The 25,131-nt window shown below is 37.4% G+C and overlaps 1 protein-coding gene across 7 annotated transcripts in view, besides 1 other annotated feature; it reads right to left on the reverse strand.

Moving 5' to 3' along the window:
• FGF12 (fibroblast growth factor 12) overlaps positions 1-25,131 on the reverse strand; it is a 588,152-nt gene that overhangs the window by 18,092 nt on the left and 544,929 nt on the right. For all 7 annotated transcript variants that reach the window (NM_001377293.1, NM_001377292.1, NM_004113.6 and 4 more), the window contains one exon: positions 12,977-13,175. In NM_001377293.1, coding sequence (NP_001364222.1) covers positions 12,977-13,175 — 199 coding nt within the window. The remainder of the gene's footprint in view (positions 1-12,976; positions 13,176-25,131) is intronic.
• Positions 21,139-21,433: a silencer, noted in NCBI's record as "tiled region #9727; K562 Repressive non-DNase unmatched - State 24:Quies". NCBI's record gives its function as "represses a minimal TATA promoter and a strong SV40 promoter by Sharpr-MPRA in K562 cells {active_cell/tissue: K562}" and the evidence as "EXISTENCE:reporter gene assay evidence [ECO:0000049][PMID:27701403]".

Here is a 25,131-nt window from a genome sequence, read left to right on the forward strand (position 1 = left end):
TGTAGGATTAGGTATGGATTTTTTCCAGGGCAAGCTTTCTATTTAATATTTTTCTATTACATTCTTTTCATGGGTGCCTGTGTTGCAAATGCAGTTACCAGAATATGCAGGCTTTCCTTGCCATCGTGATGGCTCAGATTCCCCTATTTACAACTTCTAACATTCAACAATAACTTCTATTTTAGTTATAAATTTCTTCTGAAAAAATTACAATGAAACAAAGACTTTCTTAAAAGTATGAAAAAAGTAAAATCTTGGGCATTGCTGTTATTTATAAAGCACACAGCTATAATAAACCGGGTGCCAAGTACCATCCTATGAGTACTCTCCTATTAAGCATTAGTCATCCTCATAATAATATCTAACGTTAACTGAGCACTTACTATATGCCTGCACATTATACATACAAACAGTTTTTTAAATGACCATAAAAATAGATACTTTTAGTGGCCTGTTTTGCAGCTGAGTAAACTGAAGAACAAAGAGGGTAACCTGTCCAAAGTAATATAGCAATACAGGGCAGTCAGCTTTAAAATCCATTTGAGACTAACCCTGGTGCCCCTGCTCTAAGCTGATAGCCTAACAGTTGAGTATGTGTAAATATGCTGAAAAACATAAAACTGTTTTGACTGGTCGTAAGTCAAAACCTTGACCCCAAACCTCATGGTTGTACACAGCACTTTCTGGAATTCTACTACATCTTTCTGGTCAATCAGCTCTCTCATGCTTCGCAAGTTACTTATTTCACACCTTCCCCTTGTACCTCAAGCTTCCAATACCACCTTAGCCCCTCCACAGACTCAGGAAATAGACCTGCCTGCTTTTCCCTTTTCTCTTTCTTTCTTTCTTTCTCTTTCTTTCTTTCTTTCTTTCTTTCTTTCTTTCTTTCTTTCTTTCTTTCTTTTCTTTCTCTCTCTTTCTTTTTCTTTCTTTCTCTTTCTTTTTCTTTTTTCTTTCTTTCTTTCTTCTTTTTTCTTGCTTTCTTGCTCTTTGTCTCTCTCTCCCTTCCTTCCTCTCTCTTTCCTTTTTCTTTCTTCTTTCCTTCCCTCCCTTCCTCCCGCCCTCCCTCTCTCCCTCCCTCCCTTTCTTTCTCTTTCTTTCTTTCTTCTCGTCTTTCTCTTTTTTTCTTCTTCCTTCTTTCTTTCTCTCTGTTTTTTCCCTCCCTCCCTCCCTCCCTTCCTTCCCTCCCTCCCTCTCTCTCTCTCTTTCTCCTTCCTTCCCTCCTTCCTTCCTTCTCCCTCTCTCCTTCTTATTCTTCCTCTTTATTTTCCAAGACAATAAACTGTCTGACTTTGCATTTCACTTAGAAAGGAGAATTAGATGAGAAATGTTTTCATGGCAAAAATTACCAACCTATGGACATCTGCCCCCACGTGTTCTGACTCCTGCTTGTTACAATGCTTGCACTGTGCAGTTCTTACCTAAATCTAGAGCGCCATGGTGCACTCAGTCCCAGCCCTTCTACTCAGTGTTCTTTGGTGTCCCTCTCTCCTGTGATCCCAATGTCTGCTTATCCCAGATTGTTCCCATCAGTATATGAATGTATGAAATAGCTTTAAAAACAAAGAACCCTACCATGTAACTGTCATGTTTCTCACCAGCTCCCTCCTCATTTCTCTACTTCCTTTTTATAGCAGCAGTTCTCAAAAGAACTTTAATATTCAATATTACCTTCTTCTTTTCTTTGCCTCCAGTTATCATTTAATTCTTTCCATTCAGACTTATTTCTCACTGTTTCACCAAAATCACTCATGTCAAGTCACTACTGACCACGAGTTACAAAAGCAAAGATCAATTCTCATTTAGCAGCTTGCTAGACACTCCAGCAGTGTTGGATACAGTTAATTATTTCCTCCTTTTTGACAAGATGTTTTCACTTGGCTTCTTGAACATCAATCAAAATAGCCTAGTCTTTCTGCAAATCACTGGCTACTCTATTTTATTCTCCTTTGCAGGAGCCTCCTTTTCCAATAAATGTTAGTGTTCCCCAGGAGTAAGTCAGCAATTACATTCATTTTCTTAGCAGTGTGAAGAAACTAGGGAAGTATTCTCCCCATTTCTTGTCACAACTATAGTGATGGAGGTCAAGGTGGTATTACTAATATTCTATAATGTGAGAAAGTTCCACACAATAGAATAATTTTTCCAAACAAGATAGTCTCCCCATTTGAAAAGTAGTCATAGAACCTAGGGCAGTGGTTGTCAAGCGGTGGTGAATTTGCCTTCAGTGAATCTTTCGTAATGTCTGAGACATGTTTGTTTGTCACCACTAGAGAGGATGATTTGCTATTGGTATCCTGAACATAGAGGCTATAGATGTTGCTACATATCCTCCAATGCACAGGGAAGTGCCCCACAACAAGGAATTATAGAACCCAAAGTCCCAAAATGTCAGTAGTGTCTGAGTTGTAATAACCAGTACTAGGGGATTACAAGTGATTTTAAAATGTCATATTTAAGTAGTGTGTGTGTGTGTGTGTGTGTGTGTGTGTGTGTGTACACATTTCAGCACACAGACCCATTATTCGCCCAGTTCATCATGCCTAACACCTAAAAGTCATCCCTGATTTCTGTCTTTATCTAACAACCTACATCCAATCCATTAGCATGCTCTATCAGGTCTACCTTCAAAATAAATTCAAAGTCATTCTCTCTACCTCTAGTTATAAAACCCTAGAGTCCAATCTAATACTATCTTGCTTAAGATCCTGGATGATTTCACTGCAATTCTGCTCAAAATCTATAATGAATCCCCATCACATTAACCATAAAATCTAAAGTCCTGAAGGTGGTTACAAGCCCTCAATTTATAGTCTTTCCTTTCTCTCTAAGTTCATCTCCTACCTTCCATTCCTTTAATCAATCCATTCTAGTCACATTGGCTTTCTTGCTCATTATTAGGCATCCTCGGAGTCTATAAAAGCCTTTGGAATCTCTCAGCTTTGCCTGCAAAAACCTTGTGCCACATCTTTGCATGGTTTACTACTAAATTTCATTCAGATTACTGTTCAAACATCATTTACGTCATCTTCTCTAAAAAATTTACCTTCATCATCCTTTTTAAAATAGTCCCATATTTTTTTCTTGGAACTAATCTCTAGTGATGTTTTAAAATGCTTGCTTATTTTTAATTGCGTATTTTTTACCCATTTCTAGACATAAATGCTATCAAGTCAAAATTGTCTTTCCTTGAGTACTAACTGTGTCCCCATTAGTACAGTGAAAGACGCTTAGTAGATGTTTCATAGTTATGTTCCAAATGAATATTCCTATCTACTATGCTACAGTGACTAACTGAAGAAGTCTTTGGTTGGAGTAAAGCTGATTTTTCTTTCACCTTTAAAGTCAGTGAATCTTTACTTTATCTAAGGTCCTAAACTTGGGCTGAGTTCCCTGAAACTGACCAATATAAAGGTAAAATAGATGACTTTGACACAAATGGAGCAAGGAATACTATACGGTAGACAATATTTATCAAGCTCCTTTAGTTAAGTGATATTTGAATAATCAAATAATAAGCCTCATCTTCACAGAAATAAGAAAAATCAATGAAACAGAAAATAAACCAAGAAAGCTGACGACCACCCTTACCTTTCCTTGTATATATGGTGCATTATAGAGTCTAGAAAGGAAAGAGATTCTAAGGATCATTGCATCAGACAGTTCCCTAAACTTAGTGATTGTCAAGGCATGACCCCTAACCACCACCACCAACAGCAGGAACGTTAAGAAATGCAAATTATTTGGCCAGCTCAAACGTACAGAATTAAAAATTCAGGAGATGGGGCCTAGCAATCTATGCTTTAGTGGGCTCTCTAGGTAATTCTGATGCACACTCAACTTGTAGAGTTGCTGTCCTTAATTCTTCCATGAGAAATACCCGGATGTTCTAAGAATACACATTTGTATCTATGTCTTGCCTCTGCAGATTCTAATTCATAAGAAGTTACACACAAATACACACACACACACAACTGATTAAGTAACTAAATTGAATAACTTTAAGGAATGACAACGCCTATTTACACACACACACACACACACACACACACACATCACATCACATTTGTAGTAGGAAAAGCATGACATCTGAAGTTACCAGGTAACAATTCTAGTTTTGCTTCTTTCTAGCTGTATACACCTAAGTGAGTTAACCTCTAGAAATGACATCTTTCTCGTGTTTAAAATAGGGATAGTAAATCTTAACCTTCATACTTCCAAGGATTTAGTGGCTATTAAATGATACTTTGGTTCAGAAAGCATGTTGAAAGGACAATATGCCATTCAAATGGAATATAAGGTAGTATAGCTGCTACTAATTATCACTTTATATTGTTGCTGTATTCTTGACAGATCCTTTGAAATTTGAGAGTGCTAGCAGTAATTTTTAAGTGTCAATGTCACTCTGTAGTGGAGAGTTGAACAACCTGTGTGTGGGAACACTGGAGTTGTTCTGACAAATTCTGTTTTCCAAATAAAAACAATTTAACTTCTGTTTTTAATAAAACTAAAACATTAAACTCTATAAAGAACCTCCATCGACTACTAGTTACCATCAAAGACAAATGAAATATGATTAATCATTTTATTACTACAAATTTAATTGAATTTTCCTTGGTCCTCTGTAATTTCCAAGAAGCTGAAAGGTTAGACTGCTGTGTTAGTTAATGCACCATTGAAGATACTTAATTGTCTTAATAGCAGATCATAGAAGGGTGTGGGAAATTTACCTAAAGCAATTTCACACCTGAATTAATGTTACATGGGATCCTTTTGGAACTCTGGGAGAATTCTAAGTGCTAGTTTGGAAGAAATGTATTGCCTTAGAAATGCATTCACTGTGCTATACATATTTACTATAATGAGATAACAACTATAACGTTGTGAACAAAAGCGTCTGTATGTTCGTTTAGAAAGAAAGAAAAAGCAATATTTGCAATGAGGGACAAAGAGAGAGAAAGAGGAAGAATGTGTGGGGAAGAGGTAAGAGGGTTGTATTAAAGACTACATTCAGAAACCAGAAAAAACTGGTTTGAATAAGTTACAATGGTTTGCAGGAGGAAAGTATCACAGGCTGGCAGAAACCCAAAACACAAAAGAAAGAGTTGCAGCTATTATCCTTTCTGTAATTAAAACAATTACTGGCAGAGAGGTTCTTTTTTGCTCCATCTTTCTGCTTTTGTCTTTCAGTATGGTTGGGTCCAAAAGAGAACCAAGGCATTTATTTCTATTTCCAGTTTATTGAAATAAAAATATCAAATTTGGCATTAGTGTCCACCAGTTGGAGTTTTAAAACATCAGGACTCCTGATTTGCTCTGTTCTTTGGTGTCTTATTATGTAGTTTTGAAGGGATTGTTATTTTCCTTCCAGATTCCATTTTCATTGCCTTTAATTTCTCATGCAATGCCACATCTCACAGCATTTTTCCAATACAAAACACAGTAAGACAATGTCCATTTTCTAAGACAAAATGAAAAAGGCATTTCATGTTTGATCTGACAGAATTCTCTTGAAAAATCCAACTTTTTTTTACAATGTCTAATTTTCATATTATTCCTTTGAAGCAGGTGGAATTTATAATAGACTTTATCTTCAGAGATGACTGAGGTAGAAGGAGATAAATTATTTTCTCAAAATTACTTAGCAAGGCTGCTCTGCCTATGGAGTAGCCATTCTTCTGTTTCTTGACTTCTCCAATACACTTGCTTTCATTCAAACAAAAATTGCTTAGCAAATCATTGCCAAATTTTGACCCAAAGAATTAGACACTTCTGTATTCTTGGTTACTTGATTTCTATTAGGTTGCTCTAAGAGGTGTCAATTTAATAAAATAATTGGCATTACCTCTACTGACTTCATATAGGAATTTAACCCTGGACTAAAACATACCTGTCTTGATAGTAGTAGGGAATGTAAAAATGTAACATATATAGTATACTTAATTTCATGTCAGAGGGACAATTTATATTACATTAGATTCAGTCCAATATATTGATCACAATAATATGAATAAATTTAAATCATCCATGGCCAGATTTGACCAAAAGGAGCTTAGAAACACCAAATTCAGAACACTGCATCTCAAACTCAATGCCATCAGAAATCCCCTGGACAGCGTTTTAAACCTATAGAGTCCTAGGTCATACATAGGTTTCAAACATCAGATCACTTTGGAGATTTGCTCTGAGAATCTGTTAGCTTCTAGGAACACTACAGATGGTTCTGGTACTGATGTTTGGGAAATGACAGTTTACATTCTGCTGAGTCTTAAATCAGATTCTATGAGCTTAAAGCACCAATTCTAACAAAGAAAATGGAAACCATGTATATGGCCAAGTGTGTGTGAGTGTGTGTGTGTGTGTGTGTGTGTGTTAGTACTGTCTCCCCACTACCAAATAAATTGGGAGAAATAAATCAATATTCCTTTATTCCAAGTTTAATACTTCTGTATGGATGGCTCTCAAATGATTCTTAGTTATCTTATTTGGAAATATATTTATTTCTCCAGGTCTCAGCTCTTGAAGCTTAAATCTTTGCAAAGTACACAGACTTTTTTTTTCAGAAGGGAAGAACCAGATCCTAAATACTCAGCCACCTGCAGTAGCTGAGCAATGTGCTTCTTGAAGGAGGAGGGAGGAGAAAAGGAGGAGACTATATTTTGTTCTTTGTCAAAGAGTATTTGACTGCTATATCTGATGCTAAAGGGGGAGGTCACCACTAAAACACTTTACATCTGGGGAAGTTACTTATCTGTGCTTTGAACAATACTCTGAAAGGGCAGAATTGAGAATCAGGAAGCCTGTGCTATTGTCCAAAATTCCAGGGGAGGGGACCCATGTAAGTAGAGGTTTATATGCAATGTACATAGTAATGTGCTTAAACATCAAGGCCATCTATCAGAATAGGTGACCCTGAAACCCCTCATCAACGCTCCTGTTCTCTAAACACAGGATGAGACGTGAAAGAGTGAAGGGAAATGGGCTGGTGGGTAATTATTATCATGTTATCAGTGTAGGACTTAACCATCCTCAAACTGGCAGAGCTTAATTTTGGGAATCGTGACATTCAAAAGACAACACCAGCAGGACTGGGATAAAGGCAGACATATGTGAAAAACAAATAAGCAGGAAAAAACAAAAGAACAAAAGCAAAACCCAAAGCCAAAAAAAACCCTACTTTGGCTTTTCCTCCCTAAGAGGACAATTCCCTTCACAAAGGAAGGGCTCATTTACCGTGCAGTGCTGGACTCTGTTAGGATGTTAACAGTATTACCATTGGACTTACAGGGTTACAAAGATGCCTTTAAACATTACAAACAAAATAGTCAATAATTTTTTTGGTTAACCCATTAGCAGCAAGTTAGCTAATCTCTTATGCTATCATTTTCTAATCGTTTTCTAAAAGTGTCATCTAGTTATGTGCTTTATACCTGCCCTATGGAAAAATATTATCGAAAACTTTATTTATTTATTTATTCACTTATTTTTGGGACAGAATCTTTCTCTGTTGACCAGGCTGGAGTGTAGTGGTGCAATCTCAGCTCCTGGCAAACTCCGACTCCCTGGGTTGAAAGTGATTCTCCTGCCTCAGCCTCCCAAGTAGCGGGGATTACAGGTGTGTACCACCACACCTGGCTAATTTTCATATTTTTTAGTAGTGATGACGTTTCATCATGTCGGCCAGGCTGGTCTTGAACTCCTGGCCTCAAGTGATTCACCTGCCTCGACTTCCCAAATTGCTGGGAATACAGGTATGAGCCACTGCGTCTGTCCTAAAATCTATTTAAATGTAAGTTATGGCTAGGATGCCTTTCATCCTATCCCTTCATTAAAAAAAAAAATCACAAATAATGGAAATAGCTCATAAAGCTGTAATTTATTTTTTCAATAATTCAATAAAGAAAATATGTTTAGACCAGTTTTACATGTAAATTCTAGGCTAGGTTCTATGAAGGAACATGGTTTTACAGTGAAGGGCTTATAACGACTGCCACACAATGTCATTGCCAAAGAACTTTAGAAATCATCTGGTCCAATTTTTTTTTTTTTTTTTGCTGAGTGGAAATAAACCTTGTTAGAATTCACCAGAAAAGAAGTGATGCATTGTTAATTCTTTCTTGCCTAGCTTGAACATGGCATTCCATTAACTGTTTTATCTGATTGTTTACCAATGTGTTTCTCATCATATCATGTATTCCTGTCTCAATTTTGCATGATTTAAAACTAGTTTACTATTCAAATTGCATCATAGTATAAGGTTTCTGCTTTGCTATCACTGACTTTTCTGAGTATTTGCATATTCACAGGCTTACTTCAGATTGAAGGGCAACATAGTACAGAGGTTACGTGACATCAGGGTTCCTGGACTGCAACCCCAGTTCTGTATTTATCTAGCCCTGTGGTCTTGGACTGGTTACTTAGTTACTTTAAATTACGTTTCCTCATCTATAAAATGAGGATAAAAATACAGAACTATTGTGAGGCTTAACAGAGATAACATACGCAACCTGGCTAGCAAATAGTAAATTGATAAACTGCATACAGAAGTAGTAAGACTAGTAATAGCAGTAATGGTGGCAGCAAAAATAATTTGAGTATCCCAGCAGCGAGGAGAAAGGTTTCAATGTCCAGTGGATTAATGCCTGACACAACCTCAAGTGTACATATCTTTGATAGTAATGGTAACCTGTTAAAATCATTTAAGGATATAATGTATAACTGCATGGAGAATCATAAGGTAATTGTTCACATTTTCTGTATTATAAGGACATCAAAGCACATAGGAGGCAGAAGAGAACCAACCAATTTCATGTGTTTCATGTCAGTTACAAGAGTGTGATGATCTCCATTAATCTGCAAGAACTTTTATTTCTAAGGGGTAGGGATATATTGCAGATTTTTAAAAAGAGAAGCAATTAGGAGACATTTATTCAAGATCATTTACTAGGTCCCACTATATTGAAGTTACATCTACATCTTTCTCAGACCTCAGACTGTAGCCTGTCTTACCAGTTTTAAATGGGGTTTAAGAACTTGATTGTTCAAGTCAGAATGCTTTGGTTTCATTTCTGGCTTTGCCAATTGCTAGCTGCATGATTTAGGACAAATTACTCAATATCTCTGTGTTTCATTTTTCACATTTGTAAATGCGGATAATACTGGAACCTACTTCGTACAAATGGAATGGAAAGTAAGAGACAGTAATTGAGACGTGCTTAGAATAGCACCTGCACAGAGTAAGCATTTATAAAACTGTTAGCTAAGATTGTTCAATAAAGTTAGTTCCCTAAGACAAAAGATAAAGACATTTATAGGGAATGAGAAGGTGTTTGGCCTAAAACCAATTAAGTTTTTTTTTTCATTTTTGGAAGTAATTATCATCATATTCTATATGCTTCACACCTAGAGAGACAAAAATCCTTGGAAGTGAATCAAAGTATTAGTGAATCTGATTTAGAATGCATTTTTTTTCCCAGAACAAAAAGAAAATCATTCTAAAGGATCAGTCAATAACATAAAGTAAAAACACGATAATCTACCAAAAGATGTCAATCAGAAAATTAGGAAATCAGAGATATTCTAAAATTAAGAGGATGGAAGCCTGAAGCAGAGTTTTTAGTGTCTCAATACCCATTGTGCCATAACCCCTAGTCACAGAACATTTATTTGGTATATGGCTATCAAAAAAAAAAAAAAAAAAAAGACTACATTCTTAGCTTCTTTACACCTAAGTGTGACTACCTGACTAGGTTGTGGCCAGTGCGATAAGTAGCATATGGCAGTTACCATGGACAACTTGGAAAGAAAACTGGCCCTGGCTTTTCCTTCTGTCTTCTTCACCTCTCCTCTGCCCTCTGGCTGGAATAAGATGCTGGTTGGATCATGGGCAGAAGGGCAGATCCAGGGCCAGCATGTGTGGTTGTGTTCCGGGTGCAGTGCACAGTTGTAAATAAGCCGTAGCAAAACACTGGGAGAGAGGTAGTAAAAGCTGGATGCAGCCAAGGCCCTACCAATTGGAAAAGCACAGTACCAGCTAGGATAGCTGGTCTCTAGATTTGTTTTGTGAGAGAATAAAAAACTTTATATGATTAAGCTGCTGTTAATATGAGTTTGTGTTGTGTGAAGACAACCTTAATTCTAATCCATATAGGAATGTCCAGTTGTACACGTACATGCTCATCCAGACCCAAGAGGAAACTTGATTAACCAAAGTACAGATAGCAGCTAAAATTAGGAGGGTAGGTTATAGGTATATATATATATATATATATATATATATATATATATAAAATTTTTTTTTTTTTTTTTTTTTGAGAAAGAATCTTGCTTTATCACCCAGGCTGGAGTGCAGTGGCGTGATCTCAGCTCACTGCAATCTCCACCTCCTTGATTCTCCTGCCTCAGTCTCCTGAGTAGCTGGGATTACCGGCACGTGCCACCACGCCCGGTTAATTTTTGTATTTTTAGTAGAGACGGGGTTTCACCATGTTGGTCAGGCTGATCTCAAACTCCTGACCTCGTGATCCGCCCACCTCGGTCTCCCAAAGTCCTGGGATTACAGGCGTGAGCCACCAAGCCTGGCCTAGGTGTATTTTTAAGTGGGGTCATGAGGGTGAAGTTGAATATAAAGGGCATTATCCGTAAAGGGAATAAACACAACACGTGGATTTCTTTTCTTCATACTTTCCTAAATTTTCCAAAATTGTTAATGACCTTGTACTACTTTTATAACAAGAAGAAAATCAATGTAAATGAACAAATAAAAATGATGCAATAATTAAGAGCATAATTCATCAAACATTTCATTTTTGAGAATCCATATATTTCCCTGTGAAAATATTACTTACTTCTCAGGTACCCTTTGCTTAACCCTAAGAAGCAGGCACTTTCCTGCCTTTATTCACACTGCACCTGGAATGTTTTTGTCTGCCTAATCCCTACCTCTCATCTCAAATTGCAGGAACCTGGCCTAGCCCTGAAGGTAAGTTTAAATATTAGCTTCTCAATGATATCTTACTTTTTGGGAAAATAATAGCCTTTTTCTCTGAGTCCCAATATAAATCCTATATATTGCATCACTTAACATTTTACTTTTGCTCTGAGTAAACATATGTCACACCTCTAAGAATATCATAAAGTTCTCTGGCGCATATATTCTTCTTTGTCTTTATAGTTTTCTATTCATTAATTCATTCACATGTTCACTTTTCAGACAACTGATTATCAAATATCTCTCTATGATATGCCAACTATTATAGAAGACAAAGGGAGATATGAAGAAAAATAAAACATGTTCTGTTCATTCAAAGAGTGAGCTAACCATGAATAAGAGGAGACAGAGTGGCATTGGGCAAATTTAATGTCATAATTTCTATGGGAGAGAAATGTATGCAATGACAAGCTGACCGAATGTTTAGTTCTACTTGAAGAAAGTCAAGAAGGCCATCATGGAAGTATTGACTCTTGAATTATTTTTTTCCAAAGACTAATAGACATTTTCCAGGCAGATGAGATAAATGGATAAAAACTAAAGGAGCAGGGGTGATGAACAAAATGAGCCCAATAAGAATGAAAATAGGCCAGGCATGGTGGCTCACGCTTGTAATCCCAGCACTTTGGGAGGCCGAGGTGGGCAGATAACCTGAGGTCAGGAGTTTGAGACCAGCCTGGCCAACATGGCGAAATCCTGTCTCTACTAAAAATACAAAAATTAGCCGGGTGTGGTGGTGTGTGCCTGTAATCCCAGCTACCCAGGAGGCTGAAGAAGGAGAATCGCTGGAACCCAGGGGGCAGAGGCTGCAGTGAGCCGAGATTGCACCACCGCACTCCAGCCTGGGTGACAGAGCAAGACTCCATCTCAAATAAATAAATAAATAAAGTGAAAATATACTGCAGGAAAGAAAAGTTCATTTCATGTGCTGAATACACAGCATGTGAAGAGGGTCCTGAGAGGGGCTAGGGGCTTTGAATATCACATTTCATCCAGTGCTTGGAACATTGGAAGATAGTATTGACTTAAATGTTTGCAGTCACCGTGCTATGTACTATGCACCAGGCATTGTGTACACTGATTGACTGACCATGCCATATGAGATATTCAGGGGACAGCAAGCTTGACTAAGCCACAGAGTTGCAATGCACTGCCTCAATTTTCTCATTTCCTCAGACGAGGATGCTGAGCCAATGTTTAAAGTGATTATAATGTGACTTTCAGAGGAGAAACAAGCTTACTCAGCCTGTAGTAGAAAGCTTGGCTGAATTCAGGAAATGTGGTTACCCAAATGATATGCTCTCATCCTAGCTAAGGAATTTCTGAGGGAACATAGCCTAGCTGCCAAAAATCGGTTTCCTCAGAAAAAAAAAAACAAAAAAGTTTATTCTAATGGTCAGTTTGAAATAAATGAACAGAGAATTAAATGATTACGAGAGAAAAGGTTATAGGCTCACCTGAGAAGGATACAGTGCAATACGGTAAATATAAAAGTATCATTTGTTTTTCAAGGGTGTATCTTGAGAAAGGAAATTATTAGGTTTAGAAAAGGAGGAAACTGCATACTAGATAGTAACTACCACTTCTTTTCTACTTTCAAAATTTTTCCGGCTTCTATATTCAGGCATTTTTTTTAAGTGCCAAGTATTTGTAATAGAATTTTCCTTTTTTTTTTTTTTAATAGGAAAAGATTCCCAGCTACTACGGAGGCTGAGGCAGGAGAATTGCTCGAATCCGGGAGGAGGTTGCAGTGAGCCGAGACTGAGCCATTGCATTCTAGTGTGGGCGACAGAGCAAGACTCTGCCTCAAAAGAAAAAAAAAAAAAAAAAGGAAGAGATACTATTGTGTTCTCTGAATATTTCTTTTGAATCTTTCTTCTGATCTGTTGCATTCCAGGCAAACTCTCTGGACCAAAAGGGCAAGAAGCAGAATTGATGTCAACACACAGATAAGGGTCCAACAAAGACAGTCAGTTGGTTTCATACCTTCAATAGGTTTCGGTACAAAATGTGATGAGGGCTTGGTTTTCTTCACTCTGTTCCCCTTCATAATTTGACCTTCTTTATTGAGTCCCAGAAACCAAGCTCGGCCTGATTCTTGCTGGCGGTACAGTGTGGAAGAATAGATCACATAGTAGTTTTCAAACACAGATTCCTTGAATTTGCATTCTGGAGTGAAAACATCCTGTAGGAAAAAAAAAAAAAGACACAAAAAAGAGAAATGATTTAAAGGTGAATCAGCAAATGCTTAAATCCAATAAGCTTGAAATCCATGTCCTCTGTTAAGAACAAATGAAAGGCAATGACACATAGTTTCTATTAGCCTTTGGTTACAAAGATTCATCATACAAAATCAAAAAACATGATTGCCTTTCTAGCCAACCTTCAGCCCAGAGATAATAACTTGCTCAGGCTTGAAGCTACGTTAAAATCATTCAGGACTGTGGCCAAGTCTGCGCTCCGATCCTAGCAATATGTTTTGTAAACTAAAGTGATTGGCCATTCCTCATTTACTCACCCTTAACATGTAAATAAGGAACTAAAATTTATCCTGGAAATCAAAATCAAATATAACCACAGCAAACACAGGCACACAAGGTGCTTTTGAAGAGACTATTCTGTATATACAAATGTATTACACAGCCACAGCTTGGTCAGGAAAATCACCACTTTTCCTAAAGTCAGTAACTTCCTCTCTAATTTCCTTAAAACATTTTTTTCCTTAGTAATCAAAATCTCAGGTAAAAAGCCCAGGAATAATAGAAAAAAATTACTATTATATTGAAGAAAATTACTAATAGTATTAATTCCTATTACTATTGACCTCAGTGAAACACAGAATGAGAGTTCTAGTCTCAGAAGAAACTGTAAGATCCTGTACTTCAACTCCAGCATTTGGTAAGTGAGAAAACCAAAAGGTCACGTGATTAATTCAAATACACATTTAAGAAACTACTGAGTCAATGCCAGAGCTCACATTCATTGCTTCACAATCACAGTCTCTCAGGCTCACCTTTTCTGCCTGAGTCTTGTTTAGTGACTTATAATGAGATTTAAAAATCAATACAATAAAATCATATCCTAACATGTCACATGAACAAAATGTATTGTGTGGAAGGAAGAAATTTCTCCCCTTCTGAGATCAGCAGAAGAAAAACAAATGCTATTGCATCTTCTTCAGCTGCAATTAAACAGGAGTCCTACATGTCAGACATATTCACCACAGTCACCATCTTCCTCTCCATGAACTGGAAGAATTTCAGTGTGAGACTCCCATGATTTAATGCAAGCAAACCTGGAATTAAGTTATTAATGAATATAGGAATATTAATGAATATAGGTTGGTTGAAGCCATGTCCTTGTAGGTGATACTCCCATGCCAATCTCCTTATTTGTAGAGAGTGCTCTCTCTCTCTCTTTCTCTCCCTCTCTCCTTTTTTTTCTTTTTCTTTTTGTAAGAGGTGGGGTCTTGCTATGTTGCATAGGCTGGCCTCAAACTCCCGGGCCCAGAAGATCCTCCCACATCAGCCTCCCAAGTAGCTGGAACTACAGGTGTGTACCACTGCACCCAGCTTGTTTTTGAATAGTTCCAACATTATAGACGAAGAAAAATGAGACTAAGAAAACTGGAGTAGGCTGGGGTGTGGTAGCTTACCTCTGTAATGCCAGCACTTCGGGAGGTTGAGGTAAGCAGATCATTTGAGGTCAGGAGTTCAAGACCAGCCTGGCCAACATGGTGAAACCCCGTCTCTACTAAAAATGCAAAAATTAGCTGGGTGTGGTGGCAGATGCCTGTATTTCCAGCTACTCGGGAGGCTGAGGTGGGAGGATGACTTGAACCAGGGAGGTGGATGTTGCAGTGAGCAGAGATTACACCCCACACTCCAGCTTGGGTGACACAGTGAAATGGATCTCAACCCCCCCTTCAAAAAAAAGTCCAAGAAAACACCCCCCAAAGAAAATTGGAGTAGAAAGGTGGTTGTAGATAGTAAGATAATATGAATAGCAATAAATTAATATTATGTTTATATTAATACTGAAATATGATTTCTTAGAGTACTTTGAGTTTTAAGTAAATGAACTACTAGCTTAAGAATCAAAGAAACAAATGACCATGAGATACTACTTCACATCCACTATAAAGGCTATAGTTTAAAAATGGACATGACAAAGTGTTTATGAGGATGTGGAAAAACTGCAACTCACATACATTGCTGGTGGAAATGTAAAATTATGCAGAAGCTGTGGAAAATAGGTTGGCAGTGCCTCAAAAGGTTAAACATACAGTTGCCACACAATCCAAAAATTCCACTTTTAGGTATAGTTCTAAGATTAATGAAAACATATGTCCACACAAAAACTTGTGCACAAATGTTCATAGTGACATCATTCATAATGTGGAAACAACCCAAACATCTATCAAGTGATGAATGGATAAATACAGTGTGATAGTTCTACAGAATGCAACTGTAATACCATTCAATTATAAAAAAGAATGAAATACTGATTTATGTGGCAACAAGGATGAACCTCATACACATTATGTTAAGTGCAAGGAGCCAGATATAAAAGGCCACATGTATGATTCCATTTATATGAAATGTCCAGAATAAGCAAATCCGGAGATAGTAAGTACTGTAGTGATTATCAAGGGTTGGGGAAGGAGGTGAGAGGGATAAGGGTGGAGTGACTGTTTTGTTGGAGGGATGAAATGTTCTGGGATTAGATACCGGTGATGTTTGCAAAACTTTCTGAATGTACCAAAAACCACTAAAGCATGCATACATTTTTAAAATGTAAATTACGTGGCATTCAATTGATATCTCAATGAAAAAAAATCAGATAAACCAGGTGATTAAAGAAAGTGAGGGAAGGAATGAAACTATTGCACATTCCTTGCCTGGCAGCACAGGGCTATATGATAACCCATGTGAAGGAAAACTGGCTCTTCGAAGGCCTTGTCTCAATATTGCCAGGACAGAGTTTAGTCATTGCCAAGTATATGGATAAAAGTAACTCAGATTCAATATAGATGATAATATTAAGTTCTGTTTTTTTCCTAGGACTAATAAAGTATTTTTAAAATGCTTAGATTTAGGTCTGAATTTTAATTCATTTTCTTTTAAAAACAAACTAATTAAAATAATCCCAAAGCTTTTTATTATTTTTTTTTCTCGATCTAGTCCAATACTAGCAAACAGTATTAACCCTAGATGCTATGCTAAGGAACTCTGGAAAGTTCAAGCAATACATTCAATGTATAAGATTTCAGACTTTATAAAGAAGTTAGGAAAAAAATAATTCCTGTTTTGTGTAAGTACATATCGTCATATATGTAGATGGTGATAAAACCTTCTTCCTTATGAATGTACATCACAGAAACATGTAAATTTGAAGATAGATATAAAGCTGCTTAGTGATGATAGTACAATTTGGCACCTTTATCTAACAAGGTAACTAAAGCTCATGACAGCGAAATAATTGTCCCCAGTGTCATAGGAAGCTAGCGGCAGATCCAGACCCTGTGTTGAACAACGGGCTCCTCGCTGCTGGTTCAGTACTTCTTCCAATGCCACACATTGCTTTCCTACTGCATACGCAATCCTGCTTTTGATGCCAAGCTTGATTTGGGCAAGCCTTACTCATATTATAGAAACCATATCAGTGATGTATAATTACTACATTGTCATTTATACATGAGAAAAACAACACTCTCATTTAATAAATAACGATTCTTAGGTTTCTGTTTCATACTCATTTAAAATTCCCTCCCGGAACAGCAAAAATCAGAGATATTGCACAGAAGCTGGAGTCCTGGGGTCCTGAGCCAGGAACCGCATTAGGTAGGAACCGGGCTTTGAACTACTAAATTGACAAATGGGGGATTTCTTGCACAGCATCCAGGTCCTAATCAGCAATGAAAAGCCAAGTGGAGTTTTCCATTCAGTATAATTCCAACAGGGCTATGCAGAGTCAGAATCTGAAAATGAGGCAGCTATTAATACCTGACCAGGGCAAGACATTTCCGGCTGGAAACATGGCAGGAGTTTGCTGCAGGCACTTGTGTGGACACAGGCAGGCTACCCTATAAACTGGACGGGAAATCTTAATGGCACTGAACCAGCTTGGATAGTCATTCTAAGTAGAACCTTTACAATATATGTGCAGTTTCAGTTTCAATATGGAGTTGGGCATCAAAGAATTTACATTGTATTTGCTATTATGCCTCTTTTTTTTTTGTAATGAGAAATCAGAGCCCTACACGTGGAGTAAAAAAAAAAAAAAAATCAGGGTTTTCCTTCTGGCTCCACACATATTAGCTGTGGATTTTAGGTAAGTGATTACAATTCTCTAAATTTCACATTTTCAACTGTAAATTGAGTTATTTTAAGGAAAATCATGCATATGGACACATGTTTTAAATGTTTAGAATTTAACAACCTCCAACTCATTATTCACTTTTCACATAGCAGGAAAAATGCAATGAATCCTATAATAAGGCACTCAATTCTGGTTTTTGTCACATGTTTATATCTGCTCCAACATCTAGGACCTTGTGCCATAAGAGTAGTTAAGGCAGGTTACAAATATATAGACATTTTAAAAATAATCTAAAGCTTTTGGTAAAGACTTAGACAATCACATATATTCAGAAGGGGTTCTGTGGTTATAAAATGTGTGTTCAGACTGACAAAAAATCTAATGTATAACGGAAACAGGCAGGCTTGGGGTCAAAGGTGATAAAATCCCAGGCCACCTTGATCCAGTGCATATAATAGAAAGCAGAGTAAATAATCAGTATAATAAGGATGATTTTGTTTCTTTCGTAAGACTAACCAGTAGTCATGTTGTATCTCATGAGTGTTTCTTTTTCCTATAGTCTTGAGCCCTCAGTTCAATGTAGGCATCAGAGAAAACTTATAGAAATCTGCTGAAATAGAAACACCCCCGTGTTCTATTCTATGTCATGTGTGTAGATATGTGAAATGATAGGTCTATTTTTCACAATTATTACTTTAAAACCTGCCCATTCTTCAACTTCCACTCACTTTGACTTCAGCAGAAAATGAATATTTTGATAGTGTTCCGAAATTATTTTTGAATGCTCCCTCTTTTATCAGCATTTGCAGAACTGAGTTTTTGTTCTATCATGGTATAAGCCAATATTTGACCAATTCTTTTTCACATTCCAAATACCTGTCCACCCTAGCCTTGCCTCAAAAGTTAAAATCTCCAACTCATTTTAATCCAGATGATGAATGAATGCTGGAATCCTACGTAAGCCCAACATGATCACTCAGGACCCCTTCTAGTCTCTCCCCATCCCATGGGATTCCAACCTCCTCTCCCTAGAATGCTCCCTGACCCCAGCTTCATAGTTTCATACTCTACCTTGATTCCTCTCCAACACTGAATTTCTTCCTGTTTCTTCTCCCTGCACATAGACAACTGTCACACAGTTTCTGGCTTCTTAGGGTCTACCACTGCCCAGGAAAAGTCCTTTCCTCTCTAGTCAGCCTCTAACTGTGTCAGCTTTGGCCTTTCCCACCGCCCCCTCATCTGAATGGAATTCCCCTTAAGATATAAACACCATCAAGGATAAATAGACAGAAATTTAGAGATTTTAATGAATACTTGGATAAAATGCTGTATCTTTTCAGGTTTGACTCCCACTGTCAACACTGTTTTCATCACATGCTAATTTCTTGCAATGCCCCCACTTCCTAACCCTCAAGCTGTGCTTTGCTCAAGCTGTTCTCTCTGTTTCTCTATCAAATAGGACCATAACAGATGCTCTTTCAAGACTCTTCAGGTTACAGCAAACTTTCCTTCCTTTTGCTTCTCATAGCATTTGATATTTCTTTTAGTATTTAATGTGTTCTGTCTTGAATCACGATGGTTTTTCTTGCTCCTATAGCAGACAATGTGAGCTTTAGTTCACAGGGACATAATCCTCTTCAATGCTTTTTATGAAGCCAAGCAATTCAGCGCCCAGTTTATTCTTGTTTAAATAAATGTAGCAATAATTTAAGTCAAGGAAACAGCAAAGGTTATGTGGTGAGATAGAACTGATTGACAGTACTGATTCAGTCCCTTTACCTGTATGAACTTGGACATGCTATTTAATTTTGTTAAAAATCTCTTTTTCTATTACATTAAACTGGGAGCAATAATTCTCACATTAAAAATGTTTGAAGATTAAGTAAAATGACAAAAATTACTTCCCAAAAATCTTTGTCCTTCTTTCAATATCAAGTTTTTCCTACATAATTAGCTAACAGATGATGTATGGTAAGTTTAATAACAAATAACAACCATTCATTTATAGGTTGCAAGCAAATTTTGTTCAAGATGTAAATATAACATTGTGGATCACATAAGTTATTCAAGAAAAAATATTTTCCATTCTGTCTCCAACTAACACATTCCCCTTCTTATTTTCTATTCCACACCGTTATATTATACAACGCCCATGCTTACATGTTTGATTTACTAATAATGTTTGTAAAACTGTGTAAGTTAAAAGTAACCACTTACAAGGTCCTACAGAATAATTATGTCAAGACATCAAATGAACAGAATAGAAAAACAGAATTGTCCAGGACACATGGAGAAATAAACAGTAAGTATTTTCTGGAAAATCATTTGAATTATCTAAATTTCTGATTTGTCATTCACTGACAATTTTCTCCCTGACCTTTGGCACGCCAGTTAACCTCTCTGAGCCTCAACTTCCTCCACTGTACACTGAAGATACGTTTACTATACAGACTAGGAGCATTGTAATGATCAAATTATTTAACAGATATGAAAGCTCTTTGATAACTACAAAGGCCTATAAAATTATTTGAGATTATTTCTTTTCACAGACAACTTTGATATTGTAACTTTAAAGGCTTCTACATTTTAGTATGACATCTGCTCAGAATAAAGTTCTTGAAAGGTAAAGAATGTTATGTGATTCACTCAGAACCGCTTTTGCTCCCATGAGCTTTACTTGCCAAATGCATGCTTTCCAACTCAAGTAGGAATACAGCACTTGGTAGCACTGTATAGTTAATATAATTACACGATACCATAACCATAATTCATCTTCACTCTGCTCTTTGCAGATCCCTGTTTCCTCCTTACTGCTCTGGCTGAGATAACCCATGGGTGAATGTACAGTCAATGAGTGAATGCTCGTTGTACTCAGCCACTGGTCTCCTTGCTGTTACTGAAACACAATAAGCATGTCCCATTTCAAATCCTTCACAATCAATATTCCTTGTTCTTGAAAATGTCTTCAGTAACATATTAACATGGTTTGATCTCTTATTTCATTCAGGTTACTGCTTAAATGTAACTACCTCAGAGAAAGCTCCCTTGACTACCTTACATAATTTAGCACTACGGCCACTTTCTAACCCTTTACCTTGCTTTTGTTTTCCTTCATAACTTGACCCTTTCTGGCATTATAACACATATGAATTTGTTTAAGCTTCTTGAAAGTAGCTACCATGATTGCTATATTCTCTTCGTATTCTCAACAGTTCTGGGAATTAAACAACAAATCGACTCCAACAAAATAATTTGGTGAAAATACATCATAAAATCTGAATTTTTTCTTCCTGTATATCTCTAAGTTGTGATCAAATGGGAAAGGCCTCTTTCTTTCTTAGGCTCTCAGTTTCTCTAAATGTAAAAAAGAAATGCCAAATTACACAATCTCAAATGTCACTTTTGTCTTACTTTATAGCTATATTATTCATATTAAATACATAATGTATTAAAATTAAAGAGCCTATATAAAATGTTGTTTCTTCAAAAATAGAGCTTTCCTACCAAAGAAATGGTGGTAATATATTATTATTTAATAAGCAAACAAAGAAAAATTAATCAGAGAAATAGACTTTGCTATTGTGTTAGTAATTATGACTAATGACTCTCCATATGGTATGTAGAAATTATTGAATTTTCAAGCATATGCCAGATAAAAAAGGGCCTCTGATTTTGGTTCTATCTTTCCCACTTAAAACCCCAAATCTAAACTCTTTTTTTTTTCCAGAGGGAGTCTCGCTCTGTCACCCAGGCTGGAGTGCAGTGGCACGATCTCGGCTCACTGCAACCTCCACCTCCCTGGTTCAAGCAATTCCCCTGCCTCAGCCTCCTGAGTAGCTGAGATTACAGGCGCCTGCCACCATGCCTTAATTTTTTTGTATTTTTAGTAGAGACAGGGTTTCACCCTGTTGGCCAGACGGGTCTCTAACTCCTGACCTCAGACAATCCGTCCACCTTGGCCTCCCAAAGTGCTGGGATTACAGGCATAAGCCACTGCGCCAGGTCTAAACTCTTTTTAATGTATATAACCACCTTCTCTGTTTGCTGTGCCACCTTGTGGATTCAGTTTTGTGTAAGAAAGAAAGGAATCAAAAACAACTGGGGAATCTTCCAACACAATTTATATCCAACAACTCCAGAGACAGAGTCCTTTCGGTTATTCTCACTGGATATTTGGCTGTGAAGCTTCTGATTTGCTAACTTCATTAATGGCCTTTAGATGGAGAGAACTTGAAAATCCTTGCTATAATAGCTGCTACTTTGCTAACTCTGTTGTCACGCATAATGATATTAAATCAAGCAAGAGAAATATTGTTTTCCATCCTGACAAGAGGCAAAGAAAATGCCAAATTACATTATCTCAAGTGAATTTTTTTGAAAAAAAAATTGGGATTGCTTTGACTAGAACAAGTCTAATTTTATAACTTAAAAAAAACAACTCTGCAGATACGGAAACCTTTGTCTACACACTTTTGAAATAATTTTTACTGGAAAACTACTGAGCTGATTCCTCTAAAAATAAAGGTTCTTTGTTAACACATTCTTTGCAACATCTGACAAGGAAACAAGGTAAATTTATACCATCATAAAATAATGCAACCTGTGACGTACTGGAAATGTAATGTTGGAGGTAGATGGACACAACTACTCAATACTCAAACCCTTGATTTTTGACCTTGAGCAAGTTACTTAATTTCTCTGAAACTCAGTTTCACATCTGTAAGTTAAGGTTAATTATATCATCACTGTAAGGTTGATTTTTTTTTTTTTTTTGAGACAGTCTTGCTCTGTCACTCAGGCTGGAGTACAGCGGCACAATCTTTGCTCACTGCAACCTCCGCCTCCCGGGTTCAAGTGATTCTCATGCCTCAGCCTCCCAAGTTGCTTGGATTACAGGTGTGTGCCACCACACCGGGCTAATTTTTATATTTTTAGTAGAGACAGGGTTTCATTATATTGTCCAGGTTGGTCTCGAACTCCTGACCTCAAGGGATCTGCCTGCTTTGGCCTCCCGGGGTGCTGGGAATACAACCATGAGCCATTGCATCCGGCCAGGTTGTGATTATTAGACTAGACAATGAAGGTGTGTCAAGCATGTAGTACCTGACTTATTACTCACTCTCCTTACTCCTGGTTACAATTTCAGGGGAAAACTGATATCACAAATGAGAATGCAGTAGCCTGAGCAGCGGGCAGAGAAAAGTCACTGTAGTTGTGGATCCACATAACGTGTCATGAGGATCTCTTACCTGTGAGAGGTTAATTAAGATTATCTTGCTTAAGGCTCAACTTGGTCATCTATATATAGAGAACACAGAGATATCAGATCACTTTTCTTTCTCTGGTAGAGGAATTTGGTGCCATCAATTGGAGATAAGTGATGTGGTAATTTCAGGTTCTTGTCACCTCCTAATGAGGCATTATACCACAATACCACTGGACTCAGCCTCTAGCCAGAAGACTGTAAGTATAGAAGTGAGGTGGGAGAAAGCCAGTGGGTGAGGGGTATATTATATTACAATTCACTATTATCATCAAAATAACTTCCAGGAGCTTCAATGTTTTAGAGACGACATATCTAGAGCAGATATTGGAGGGGCAGCACAATTCTCCATTGAAAATGCCTTTGGTTCTTACCAAGTGAACCTGTGCACAATACGTAATCATGTGTCCCACTATGACTGAACAGGAAAATCATGGCAAGATATGTGCTTCTAGTGCCTCAGCCTCTGTCTTCCTTTCTTGGGATAAGGATGAAAGTAGGGATGTTGTCAAATGCACATATTTCAATTTCAACATTCTTCTGCTTTTTGGAAAGTCACATTTCATACACTAAAAGGTACGAGAAATTATCAACTAAGGCTAAAAAATATATTTTTTACATGAAATTTCCTAACTTTTAAAACTTCTGTATCAACTCCCATGAAGTCAAACTAACTGATATCAAACTTAACTTTCCGATGTAAGCAATTATAAAACTGGACAAAGTATATGAGGTAGAAGTTTCCAGGCACTTGTCAACTGGAACTGTGGGTGTTTGATCTTTGAGAGAAGGCAGATACACAGGAGGTAAGCACTGTGTATTTGCTTGGCTCTGTGTTGGTTTTCTTGCTTTCTTCAAGGGACAGCACTGTGGTTTTGTGAAGCTGAAGAGGCAGAAACTGTAGTTCGAGATTGCTAAGGTGACTTGAATTTGTGGAGCAAGGTGCCAGTGAAAAAGGGCTGGATGGAATGAGGGGCAGGAGACTGTACGGAGATCTCCTGTGGATCCTGGGTTTACAGAGAGAAAAGCACATGCTCAGGATGAGACTCTTCAAGGCCCAGCATAGAATGGCTGCTCCAGGATTGAGAGCTGAATGGAGATGGCTGTGGCTGTGTAGGGCTAGGATATGATAAACTTCCGGGCAAGTCAGAAAGCAGGGGCCTCACTAAGCAAAGAGGGCATTCAATGAAGACCTCAGAAAGGCCACAGGTTCAAGTTAATGACCACACCCTAAGTGAGCACGTCCTCATCCCCCAGATTAAAGACAGAACCAAAACAGTCAAGACAAGACCTACACGCACACACACAGACACACACACACAGACACACACACACACACACACAGCATGACAAGATCAAGAGGATTTATTAGTTATTAATCCAAATGCCAGAACAAAACACACACCTGTATCAGCAGATAATGTAATACACTCTACAATGTTTTTTATAAATGTCTAACATACAATATCACAAAACATGGATGCAAGCAGCACGATGTAACTCATGGTCAGTTACGCAGATAGTAGAAAAGATCACAAGGTCGCCTAGATGTTAAAATTAAGAGAAGTAATTTGTTTTTTTTTTTTTTTTTTGACACAGGGTTTCACTCCTGTTGCCCAGACTGGAGTGCAGTAGCGGGATCACTGTTCGCTGCAACCTCCACTGCCCCAGCTCAAGCAATTCTCCTGCCTCAGCCTCCCAAGTAGCTGGGACTACAGGCATGCACCACCACACCCTGCCAATTTTTGTATTTTTAGTAGAGACAGGGTTTTGCTGTGTTCCCCAGGCTGGTTTCGAACTCCTGGGATCAACCCACAGTGCTGGGATTACAGACATGGGCCACCATGCTCAGCCAACAGATAAGAACTTTAAAACAGCCACTATAAATATGTTCTAGAGAAAACATATCTCAATGAAAAAAAAGAACATAATGAATAAACAATAAACAGCAGAAAAAATATAAATGATTTTTAAAACCCAATAAAAATTTAAGAACTGAAAGGAACCATATTTGAGGGAAAATATTACTGGATATAATTAATTATAGGCTGGATACTGGCACATATAAACAACTCGGTATTTGTGTGTATTATGTATGATTGGAAAATATCTTGAAGCTTACACAAGCTGGTAATAGTGTTGGCTCCTGGGAAGGGATTTGGTTGGCTAGGGAGCAGAGATATAAGAAATAGACTTTTTTTTTTTCTACATGTATTATTACTTCAAGTAATGAATTTAGGGGAAAAATTCTGGGTCAAGTACAATTAATGTACTAGTTAAATATAGACTACAGACCTCCAATTACTAATAGGGTTTTATTTCAAATCTTATAAAACATATATTCTGAAGTGCAAATTTACTTACCCAGGCTCACAAAACAAAGATGACTATAAGGATATACCATAAGTTTTCCTAATCCCATATAAAAGAATGGCCCCTTCCTCTGAAAAATTACTGAAGGAAGAAAATCAATGAAGAACCCATGAAATAGGCAATCTCTAAATGGACTCGTTGAGTATAGGAGGGAATGAGAATAAATATGTTTACTTACCCCATC

The sequence above is a fragment of the Homo sapiens genome, chromosome 3, assembly GCF_000001405.40.
Source record: "Homo sapiens chromosome 3, GRCh38.p14 Primary Assembly".
NCBI classification, from domain to species: domain Eukaryota; kingdom Metazoa; phylum Chordata; class Mammalia; order Primates; family Hominidae; genus Homo; species Homo sapiens.